The 12,678-nt window shown below is 37.7% G+C and overlaps 1 long non-coding RNA gene across 1 annotated transcript in view; it reads left to right on the top strand.

Annotated features, from left to right (window-relative positions):
* LINC02197 (long intergenic non-protein coding RNA 2197) overlaps window positions 1-11,489 on the top strand; it is a 125,726-nt gene extending 114,237 nt beyond the window's left edge. The window contains exon 3 of the long non-coding RNA NR_134269.1: window positions 11,105-11,489. This is a non-coding gene — a long non-coding RNA (long intergenic non-protein coding RNA 2197). The remainder of the gene's footprint in view (window positions 1-11,104) is intronic.
* The last annotated feature ends 1,189 nt before the right edge of the window (window positions 11,490-12,678 follow it).

The following is a 12,678-nucleotide window of genomic DNA, read 5'->3' as shown; positions in this document are numbered from 1 at the left end:
TCAGTATAAACACTAACATATATAAATAAAACCAAACAACAGTTACTCTTTTCCATAATGTTATGCTTTTGTGTTCAATGAAATATTTAATTTAATTACTAAATTTCTAGCATTTCTCTGAAGGATAAAACAAATAAGCAAACAAACAAAGTAACAAGAAAAACCCAAAATAACTTCAATGAATTAAAACTGTCTAGTGCTACCTTTCCTATAATTATTGTCACCAAATAAAGTGCCTATTGGACAGAGATGGCTGGTTCACTGCAATCTCCATTGACCCTTTCGCCATCAGTAAAAATGTCCTCTAATGCTTAGCCGGACACATGATCACCAGGAATAAATGCTATATTCCCAATCTTTTCTTAACATAGGGCATGACACATGTGACCAATTTCTGACCTATGTTGTGTAAGGGGAAGTAACGCGTGTAACTTCTGAGAAGCTGACTTACATGCAGGGGGCATGTCCTATCTCTGTGCTTTCTTCCTTCTTGGAAAGGCAGCTCTGATGGCTAGATCTGGGGCAGCCATGGGGCAACATGAGAAGCAGCAGTACTTGGAGGTGCAAAGCAACAAGATAATAGCCATCTGGATTTCTGATGATCATGAAGACATCATATCTGAACTGGGGTGTCTGCATATCCCTGAGAGGCAAAAAATGTCTATATTGTTTCCATGAGTTCTTAGCCTACACTGCACATACGAGTTATCAGAGAACTTTCAAAATTTATCAAATGCCCAGTCCTATTAAGGTATCTGGAAACTTATTCTTGGCCTATAATTTTCCACTGGGTCAACTATAACCCAGGTTTATCTGTCTTCTATATCCAGAGACTGTACCCTGCTCCTATGCAGTCTTGCTCTCTCCATAGCTTCATATGTGCAGCAGAACTCACCCTCTGCCTTCCATAACCAGGAGTGGGGCGCTACCTTCCCTCACCTGACTCCTGTGCTGCAGAAACTTGCTAAGAAACACGGAGCATATGTTTCAGACTCAGAATAAAATTATTTTTACAGTCACCAAGTTTTAGAGATTCTGATTTAGTGTATCTGGGTGTGTCCAGGGTACCAGTGTGCTCCCTTCTCACTCAAATGAAAATTACTGGAACATGATGTTATTTGGTATTCAGTTACACAAAGCTGAGTGTAACTGATTGGTTAATAGTAAAAGTTTTGATTTCAGTAAAATAGTTGAATTATTCTAAACCATAACTTTGTAGCTACATGATTTGGGTGAGATGATTTTTTTTTTTTTTTTTTTTTTTTGAGAAGGACTCTCGCTCTGTCACCCAGACTAGAGGGCAGTGGTGTGATCTTGGCTCACTGCAACCTCCTCCTCATGGGTTCAAGTGATTCTCCTGCCTCAGCCCCCCGAGTAGCTGGGATTACAGGTGTGCACTACCATGCCGGACCGGTTTTGTACTTTAGTAGAGATGAGGTTTCACCATGTTGGCCAGGCTGGTCTCAAACTCCTGATCTCAGGCGATCCACCTGCTTTGGACCCCCAAAGTGCTGGGATTACATGAGTTAGCCACCACACCCTGCCTGAGATGATGTTTTTGAGCCACAGTATTCCCATCAGTAAACCGGACATACTAATTGTAATTTCAGGTATTTTTGTGACACATATATTATTGAAATTATTATTATTAAATTACTGACTTTAATAATACATTCTTAAATTAGTTATTATTATAATAACATAATTAATATTGAAAGCAGTTTATAAACTTGCGTGGTGCTAGGGGGCACTACAATGTAAAGGAATTTATGTAATAAAAGTAAAGATGCAACGTTTGATTTTATTTTTCATGTTTTGTAATGCAAAAATTAACTGTCCTTTTATTTAAATTACAGCACATGCAAATTAACTTTTAGGTATATAATTATTCTGAATTATTTCAGAAAACTATTATGGTCTCATCACTGGATTAAAAAATGTAATAATATTCTCAGTTTAAAGAAAATGCACAGGTTTTAAATCCTCTGTGATAAGGGCCCATGAACTTGGAGCTGCTGATTTTTTTTTTTTTTAATTTGCAGGGTTTTTACATAACAAATTATCAGAAACCAAAGCACCCAGATATCAGACTATGAATAGAAAACATCTTTCCTGAACAAGTACAGGCTTTATTACTTAATTGTATTTACACTGATGAGTGCACACAAAGAAAAATCAATTTGTGGGAGTTTATTTCATTGGTATTGAAATTGTATCTTCCTTGAAAAACTTGGCACACAGTGCCTAGTTTGTCTCCCAGTTCATTATATTATTATTTTACTATATTCTGTGCTGTTATGTAGTTTTATATGGGCTCACTAGTTGAGTGTTCAAAATTGCTTTTCTGAACTATAGAATATTAACTTCCAGTATTTACCAAAAAAATGTTATTTATTAAAAAAATCACAATAAAAGGGCATAAAATAAATATAAATACTCAACATTTTCAAGGTTCTTGTGGAATCATTCTGAAAGCATTAAAAGGAGAGGCTGGAAATCTGCGTTTATAATATTGGTCATTTCCCTACCTACTTAATAGTAACATTAAAGCTTCCTCAGTATGCTTTCTGAAACAAGTAAAAATGTTCTTTTACCTTAACTTATACTGTGGAAAATCTCAAAGGAATGCTAGAAAACCATTCCAATGTACTCACCCAAACAACACAAAATACCCACACCTTCTCCAATTCAAGCAATCATTTAATTAATCGAAAGAGCTGAGATGCACTCCCTCTCTACCTCATAAGGGCTTCCATCATGAACTTGATTGTGTCCTAAATTCAGTCCTCCAGGAGAAGCTCATCACCCTCCCCATGTCCTGAATGTCAGAATCCAAAGCTGGAAACTGCATCCTACTTAATCTTTATGTTTTTTGAAAAAGTTTATCTTTCTTCCCAGGAATAAAAACATCTATTCTCTGAGGCACATGTAAGCATTTATCCTTCAGTATAATGAACTTTTTTAGTCATATTGTTAATGACAAGCTTACATAAATTTTTTTCTGCTCCCACCTTCAAAGCTCCAAGCCCTGTATTCTTACAGGATGATATTCATAAACTATTTGACCTTAGCTTCCCTCCATTTAAGGCTTTCTTGCTCAGAATCACTCCTTTTATTAGTTATCTGTTGATGCTTAACATATTACCTCCAAAACTTAGTGGATTAAAACAACAAACATTCATTATGCCAACTTCTCTGGGTCAAGAACTATATCAGAATTAGTAAGGCCCTCTAGCTCAAGGACTCTCATAAGGCTGCCATCATTTAAAAGCCTTACTTAGGGAAGATTCACTTCTAAGATTAATCATGTGGCTGGGGGCAGTCCCCAGGTCCTTCCTTGCTGGCTGTGACTGGTGACACTGGCTCCGTGCTATGTGGACTTCTTAATAGGCAGCGCCCAACATAGAAGTCAGCTTCCCTTACAATGAAAGAGAGAGAGAGGATTCCCAAGACAGAAGCCACAGTCTTTGTGCAATCTAATGTTGGAAGTGATATCCATCACTTCTGCCACAGTCTATTTGATAGTGAAGTGAGATAAATTCAACTAGGACAACAGAGTAGAAGATTCCTCAAGGAGTTACCTCTACCAGGGGTACAAGTGACATGGAGCAATTTTAGAGGCTGCTTACCAAACCCATGAAATGTATAATGACAAAACATGATATTCCTCTTAAATGACTAAATAAGCACACCACTCTTTGATCAATCTCCTGTCTGTTCAGTGTGGCAACAATTCCCACTGCAGCTGTTCTCCTGCCTCACTAAGACTTTCAATCCACTGGTGCCTCAGCCTTTGCCTATAGCATTATGATCCTCCTGCGGTCAGTTACTCCCACAAGCAAACTAACAATGGCTCTTCTCAACACTGGCTTTATGTTAGAATTGCCTGAGGAGGTTCCAAAGATACATATGAGTGCCTTGGCCCCAATTGAGATTGGCTGACCCAGTGTCTCTGGGACCTGGCATTCTATTATGATACTAATATGCAGCAATAGTTGGGAATCGATATTGTAGATTCAATTACTGAATATTTTAAAATGTAATTGCCAGTAACATAAAACCAGAATTGACATACTGCTTCCCTTGGGCTAAATACAATCCATCTCCTATTTTTTAAATAAATTCTTATTGGAACGCAGCCACATTTTCTTATTGTCCATGGTTGCTTTTGCAGAACATGGGAGAACTGAGTACTTCCTACAGAGACAATATGGCTCACAAAATAAAAATATTTACTATCTGGCCCTTTGCTTAAAAAAAATTACTGAGTTTTGACCTATCCCCTTTCACATCTTCATTTTTCTCTCTCTCTCTCTCTCTTTCTCTCTCTCGGTTGCTTTTGGTTTTGTCCTTTTTAGAAGCACATTGCAACCTCTTCTCTAGATGAACTCAACTATCTGATTTCTGCATATTTCTCAGTCCATGACTGCTGCTGAAGAATGTCATGCAAGAAAACAAACTGATAATATTTTAAGACGATGATCACCATTGGAAACCGGGTTTTCAATTGTGCCTGACATAACTTTTTCAATCTCTACAATCCTCTAATTTCTGACACTCTCTTCTCCCTTCTCACTTCTCTCTCTCTGCAGATGACTTTGCTACTGCAACACAGAGAAAATATAAGTCTTTATACTCATAGTCTTTCAACTACCTGGCACTAAATCAATATACCTGTCTCCATTTGCAACTATTATCTTTCTCCCTGATCCTGTCAAGATGATCTTACTCTTTGTTGTAGGCTACTTTCCTCCTCTGACTTCAGAATTAGTTCTCACCTGACATTAAGAGGAAATTTACATTGTTACCAATTTCTCTACTGAAAATCCAACTTTTTATTTCCACGTAGATGCTTCCCATTGTGGTTTCCATGAACTTTATTGTCTCAATGATTGTCATTTTAGATCTATAACTCTTTTTCTGAGCTTTGGGTCTATATAAGCCAAATTTCTGCTCAACGGAGCAACCATATCCCCACTTTAATTGGACAAGTCTCTCCAGAAAATAAATCTCCTATTTCCTGTTGTGTTAAATGAAGAATAATTACTAAGGTATTCAGTAATGATAAAGAATCTGGGAATTTAACTGTTCTTGATATGAAATTTCAAATTACACACTTTTTTTGGGGGGGAAGCCAAACCCACCTCCAGCATTTTATTCCCACACATGATAAGCTTGTCCAAGGTGTGTGTGGTTTGGATGACTTTATATTTTGTTAGCTTTCCTCTTCCCTCTACATATGGACACTATGTTTTGTCAAAAGGAAATGTGTACACTAGATGCTTGTTAAAAATAGCAAGGAAGACTATTCAGGACTATAGCAATGGGGGAATAATATAGCTATAGTAGAGAGAGATTGAACTAAAATTTCTCCCAGCATGGAGCTGGAAATTTATAAGCAAAGAGCTGAGGGAGTGAGTCAGTGGATAGAAACTAATTAGATATTAAGGGTGGCGGGGGGTGGGGTGGCGGGGAGCGGGGTTCTTGCTAAACTGCATTATTGCTAAAGGCATGCCAAAGTGATAAGATATCCAGGGCGAAGTGATTCTCAGTGAACTGGCTTAGCAGGCGTCTTTGTTAAACTGGGCCTGAGAAGAGGGACTGGAGAAGAATGATTAAACTTTGGTCAAGATGGGAATCTGTCAGTTTTGGCCTTCTCTAATCTATGTGGTTACGCTGCTCGAGAGCTTGCTAAGATGTATTCAAGAAGGCTAGTGTATTAGCTTGTTCTCACACTGCTGCTATAAAGAAACACTTGATATGGGGTAATTTATAAAGCAAAGAAGTTTAATTGGCTCACAGTTCTGCAGGCTGAACAGGAAGCATAGCAGCATCTGCTTCTGGGGAGGCGAAAGGGAGATTTTACTCATGGCAGAAGGCAAAGTGGAAGCACGAATCTTGCAAGGCAGAAGCAGGACTGAGAGGAAGAGAAAAGGTGCCACACACTTTCACCAACCATATCTCATGAGGATGCTATCATGATACAGCATCAAAGGGGGAAATCTGCCCCCATGATCCAATCACCTCCCACAAGACCCCACCTCCAACATTGGGGATTACAATTCAGCATGAGATTTGGTAAGGGACACAGATCCAAATCATATCAGCTAGTAATAAAGTGTATTAAGATTTAGGAGTTGATATGGTTTGGCTGTGTGTCCCCACTCAAAATCTCATGGTGAATTGTAAACCCCATAATCCCCACATGTCAAGGGAGAGACCAGGTGGAGGTAATTGAATCATGGAGGTGGTTTCTCCCAAGCTGTTCTCATGACAGTGAGTGAGTTCTCTCGAGATCTAATGGTTTTACAACTGTTCGGCAAGTTCCTCCTTCCATCCTTCTTTTTCCTGCCATTTTGTGAAGAAAGTGCCTGCCTCCCTTTCACCTTCCACTACGATTGTAAGTTTCCTGAGGCCTCCCCAGTCATAGGGAACTGTGAGTCAATTAAACCTCTTTCTTTAATAAATTACTCAGTCTCAGGTATTTTCATATAGGAATGTGAGAAAGGACTAATACAGGAATCTTCAAGGACATCCCATCCAAATTAAAAGTTGTGTATCACTTGCTTCTTTGACCTCATCTACTGTATTAATTACATTTATATGTATATATACACACACACACATATGCAAACATATATATATATATATCAGCTTTACTAAATGGTCTCTATATTCTCAGTTTTATTGTTTCATTAGGAAAAGAAATTGGCTGGGATATTGGTAACAGTATATTTCTGCTTATGCTGTAATACCCAAGTTGAAACATTTGATAGAAATTGATTGATGCTTGTTACCTGATGTTTTAAAATAAGGGCTAAATAGTTATATATCTCAATATTATCGTTATCCTGGATGTGACAGGGTACAGATGTGACAATGCATGTTTTTATAGTGTGTTCTACTGGTGATTCAAATAACTAAGGTATTGCCATTGGCAACATAATTTTTGTAAATATTGAAAGACTCTGGGAAGTTTCTACAATAAAAAGACTTTTTCTCTTCAATTTCCATAGTGGTTGCATTCTGAAAAATTTAGTTTGTATTAAGCCATTCAAAGTATTTACATGTAAAATATTCATTTCTTGACTAAATAATTACAGATGATCACTTACGTGGCTATCCATTGGGGCATTTGATGGGAATATTTTTTACAATGTAGGATCGCAGGATATCTAGTATTGTTTGTCCTCACATTGGAAATACAATTACTGCCTTCTGATCGTTTTGACAATGGAGACACTCAAGCATTTCTAAACAGAAAAAGCTGGTACAAGCACACTTGAAGCACAATACATCTGAAAGGCACATGAAGAGTTCAATAAAATGTTTAACAACTGAAAAGACTGCAGAAATAAATTTAAGTATTCTGTCTATACTAAAATCCAAATGTAAATTATATTAGAGTTGCAGCTATTTAATACGCTATTTCAGCATTCACATGCTATTTTCATTTTCTATTCAGATGTTTTTTCCACTGCCAGACACTTTCTAACAAGTCCTTCAACCCTCTTTATAATAACTTATGAAAATATTTGTTACATTATGCTCAATGATTTCCTCAATTAAAATGATATATAAAATAAGAACAAGTGAGAGGAAAAAAACATAGTTTGTGCATCTGTTTTGTGATAAATATAGTAGTTAGATCTATTTTATATAAATTTTCTCATTAAACCCACATCAAACTTTTTCTCCTGCATTTTTTAAATGGAAAATGTGAGGTTGATAGGAGTTAATTAACTCTACTAATAGCTGACGGTAATGAAACTATCATTACTGAGAACTATAGTTGGTTTTTACAATTATTTCATTTTTTGTTGGTTTGTTTTTGTTTTTGTTTTTTGAGATGGAGTTTCGTTCTTGTTGCCCAAGCTGGAGTGCAATGGCGTGATCTCAGCTCACTGCAACCTCTGCCTCTTGGATTCAAGTGATTCTCCTGCCTCAGCCTCCTGAGTAGCTGGGATTACAGGCACGTGCCACCACGCCCAGCTAATTTTGTATTTTTGGTAGAAATGGGGTTTCTCCATGTTTGTCAGGCTGGTCTCGAACTCCCAACCTCAGGTGATCCACCCACCTCCGCCTCCTAACGTGCTGGGATTACGGGTATGAACCAGCATGCCCGGCCAATCTATATCTTTTAAGTGTGAAATGCTTTCAGAAAAATATTTCAACCAAAAGGGAGAAATGTGGAAGTTGTGAGCACCAAAATGGAGTCACTTACATCAAACCATAAAAAAATGAAGCTGGGAGGCCATGAAAGAGGGGCCTTCATGTACATATGTCTATAATAAGAACTGCTGCAATGGTTCTCTCAAAAACCACGAAAATGTTAGATATGATAATTCTATGAAGACATCTCTCCAGCAACAGCCAATATTATCAATGAGTATTTGCCAACTCTTGTAACAAGCTTCTCTGGCCCATGAGGTTTATTACAAAACTTACATAAAATTTCTCTTTTAAGATTTTTGCCTTCCTGATATGGTTTAGATTTGTGTCCCCACCCAAATCTCATGTCGAATTGTAATCCCCAATGTTGGAGGAGGGGCTTGGTGAGAGGCGATTGGATCATGGGGGTGGATTTCCTCCTTGCTGTTCTTGTGATAGTGAGTTCTCATGAGACCTGCTTGTTGAAAAGTGTGTGGTATTTCCCCTTTGCCCTCTTCCCCCTGCTTCGGCCATGTAAGACGTGCCTCCTTCCTTTTTGCCTTCTGCCATCATTGTAAGTTTCCTGAGGCCTCCTCCAATCATGTTTCCTGTACAGCCTATGAAATCATGAGTCAATTAAACCTCTTTTCTTTATAAATTACCAAGTCTCAGGTAGTTCTTTGTGCTAGAACAAACTAATACAGTCCCTCAGCTTCTTTGGTGCCTAAGGTCCACCATAGCATGTGTATTTCAAATTGCAATTTACTGCTATTTCCTGAATACACTCTTTATTTTAGAGAGTCAGTATCTCTGTTGTTTAAGTTGACATAATCTAATGTCAGAAGCAAGATGCAAAGGCTCCAAGCCTTCTTTGTTACTTACAGTTACAGCACTGTTATCCAAACAGTAACAAAGAAAGCCTTTGGAAGGCTTTCAAGTATCTGGCGATACTTGAAATTGTGTATGATACTCACCTGAGCCTATTGTGATCTTCACTTGTACAAGTTGTCTTTATGCTGCGAGATAAGTCCTCTCTTGGTTTGAGCTCCCACCTTTTCAGTGAACTCTTACATTTTGGGGGATCTGCTCTTGTAAAGGACATCCTTTCTGGTGAGTATTCTTTTGGTTTAATTTTTGGTTTGGTTATTTGTGCATGAATTTAATCTCATTAGGAAACAAGTTAAGTTGAATAGACCAACTAGTGAATTAATCCGTCTCCAAAATATACGTTTTTGGCATTTACCTGTTTATTTTGAAACTCTTTGTAAGAAATGTAAACCTGTAATGATAATCTCTGCTTTGTAAGGATATCTCCCTCTCTGACACCTAAAACACTAGATGCTTTCACAAAGCAAAAGGAAGAGACCTAAATCTATCTATCTGTGTAAACTCACCCTTGACCATTTCATTTTGAAGGCTTCCTATATATGCTTTTTTTCATCTCAACAAATAGTGGTGTTTAAGTTCTGTACCTTTGAGATTTAAATTTTCTACATTCCTTCACCTAAAAATCATCTCTTTGGAAGTACAAATTTTGGGTGGCCTAACTAACACTTGTTTATGGGCCAATTGAACAGATCATTAAAAGACAGATAGTCTGAAAGAGGGAGTAAAACTACTTGCAAGCCAGGCAAATAACAATTCTTAATGCAAGTTGTAAGTTCTTCCTCTGTCTGTATTTTTCTACGTGTGTGTGTGTGTGTGCGTATGTACAATTTTTTCTACCAAAATTCATAAACGGCTCTACTTAATTGGCTTACAGAGAAAACATAAGTGTTTAAACTAAGAATTCTCTCAGAAAAACAGAAACTCAATTGCCTTTTGGCTTATGTGACGAAATAATCTTTGGCAGACAAAGCTAGTTTTAAAATTTGTTGGCAAAATAAAAACAAATATTTTCAGAATTGTCAGCATTAATTACAATGTACAGATACAGTTTTTAAACCTAAAGTTACTGGTGAAACAAGCTTGCTATTACTGAGATGTATAATGAATGTCTTAAAGCTATAAATCCACTCATCCTTGTGTTTAAGGAGGAACTGAAGCACAATTGTTAAGAACAAGTGAATTAGGTGAATATAAATTGACAAAAGGTTGATAATAAAGTTGTCAGAATTTCAAAAATAATTTAGTGTGACTTGAAATCTTAAAATCATGTTATATTAAATTAAGTAACACTTTACTGATTTAATATTTGAGTCATTTCTAAGGAAAATACTGAAATATCAATTGCTTAACAGAAGTTTAAAATATACGTAATTTGGCATCTTGGTTTCACATGTTATGGAAAAGCTAAACATATTTGGGCCTGTTAATTAAAGGCATAAAAATTATTTTATGAGATGGTGTTCATCTGCAAAATACTAACATGATGCACTTCAAAATGCTTACTAATTTTCACTAGAAATTAAGGTTACTAAGAGTTAATTAAAATTAATATTAGAGTAATTTAAACTAGAAATAATGAAGGGAAACAAATCTGTACGTGAGGGAAGGAAAACACATACAGAAAGTTATAAGTAAGAGGTTGTGTTTTTGTTAAGGGAAAAAGAGAGTATTTTTTGTCTAAAAGTAGAATGTCTTACTGTTCCAAAAAGAAAAAGAGAAAAAATATAGACAAAAACTGAATAAGATAACTGGATGACAAATTTATAGAAAGTTTGTGGAAGATTAATCTTGTGAAAAGAATTTTATGTGTGACCAAGTTGGCTAAAGTTAAAAGGAAATTATTTATAAATATTCTGAAAACTTGAGCATTATTATCAAAAGTACAGGAATGGAAAACTTGAAATTTGTCCCCTGTGCTGAAACAACAAGCTTTTCTTTGAGTATTGACCTGCTCTTAATAGACAATAGTGAAATGTTTTCTCTACCTTTTAGATAACTGGCCTAATAAACCAAGATTTTTTGTTTATCAAGGTAATTTCTTATGCTTTATGCTCTCTTTTACTAGGTCTTTGATTACTTGAGAAAAGTGAGTGAGGTGGGGCCAAGATGGTTGACTAGAAGCAGCTAGTGTGTGCCACTCTCACAAATAGCAGGAAGAGTGGTGAGACACTAGCTCTTCAACCGGAACATCCAGGTGGACACATAAGGATTCATCAGTGACATAGTGTGACCTTCGGATCACGGAGAAGAGTGAGACAGATCAACCATTCACCCAGGAGTGGCACAGACCCAGGGGAATCCCCCTACAAGAAAATGGTGAGTGAGTGAGAGTCCCGTGGGATGCATATTTCTGCCACGAACCTTTGAATCCCTGGGCTCAGGAGATACCCCAGCTGGGGTCTCCAGACCAAAACAGAGAGCCATGTGGAGTCTGGGTAGAGCTGCTTCTTAGGTAGGTGTGGAGTCCCAGTAGCATTTGTTCCCTGGGTACCCCAAAACCAGGGGCTGCAGCTCCAGCAATTGGGAAGGCCAAGTTTTCTTGCACGCTCCCCAGAAAAGGGGCCAAGTCCATGGGGCTGAGCAGTGATAGACTGCAGACCTCACCACCACTGAACCTTGTAGGATAAGGCCCACTAGCCTGGGATGCTAGTGAGGCCACCCTAGTCCTCCTGAGTTCTCCAGCTGGGAGCAGCTCTACACTTCTCCGGCATGCAGCTCCCAAAGAGAGAGGCAGTCCACCTTTTTGCTGTCTCGCAACCCTCCCTCCTGCTGCTCTCAGGCTTGGGAGGGTGCACAGCAATTAGGGACTATCACAGAACCCCAGCACAGTGCATCTGGTGAACTTAAAAAAATCAACAAGTGAAAAACAAACAATCCCATTTAAACGTACACAAAGTACATGAACGGACACTTTCAAAGGAGGGCATACATGTGGCCAGAAAGCATATGACAAAATGCTCAACATCACTAATCATTAGAGAAATGCAAATCAAAACCACAATGAGATACCATCTCACACCAATGAGAATGGCTATTATTAAAAACTCAAAAAATAAGAGATGCTAGTGAGGTTGTGGAGAAAAGGGAATGATTATACAGTGATGGTGGGAATGTAAGGTAGTTCAGCCATTGTGGAAAGCAGTGTGGCCATTTCTCAAAGAACTCAAAGCAGAAGTGCCATTCAACTCATCAATCCTACTATTGAGTATATACCAAAAGAAATACAAATCATTCTACCATAAAGACACATGCACGTGTATGTTCATTGCAGCACTTTTCACAATAGCAAAGACATGGAATCAACCTAAATGCCCATCAGTGGTAGACTGGATGAAGAAATGTGGTAGATATACAACATGGAATACTATGCAGCCATAAAAAGAATGAGATCATCTCTTTTCCAGCAACATGAGTGGAGCTGGAGGCCATTATCCTAGAAAACCCAATACCATATGTTCTCACTTATAAGGGGAGCTAAACATTGAGTACATATGGACACAAATGGAACAACAGACACTGGGCCTACTTTAGAGTGGAGGGAGGAAGGAGGATGAAAATTTAAAAATTACCTACTGGGTACTATGCTTATTATCTGGGTTATGAAATAATCTACACACCAAACCCCGTGACACACAATTT

This window comes from Homo sapiens, chromosome 5 (assembly GCF_000001405.40).
Source record: "Homo sapiens chromosome 5, GRCh38.p14 Primary Assembly".
Taxonomy (NCBI): Eukaryota; Metazoa; Chordata; class Mammalia; order Primates; family Hominidae; genus Homo; species Homo sapiens.
Note: the sequence above shows the minus strand (reverse complement) of the source record. Positions and strands in the feature narration are given on the sequence as shown.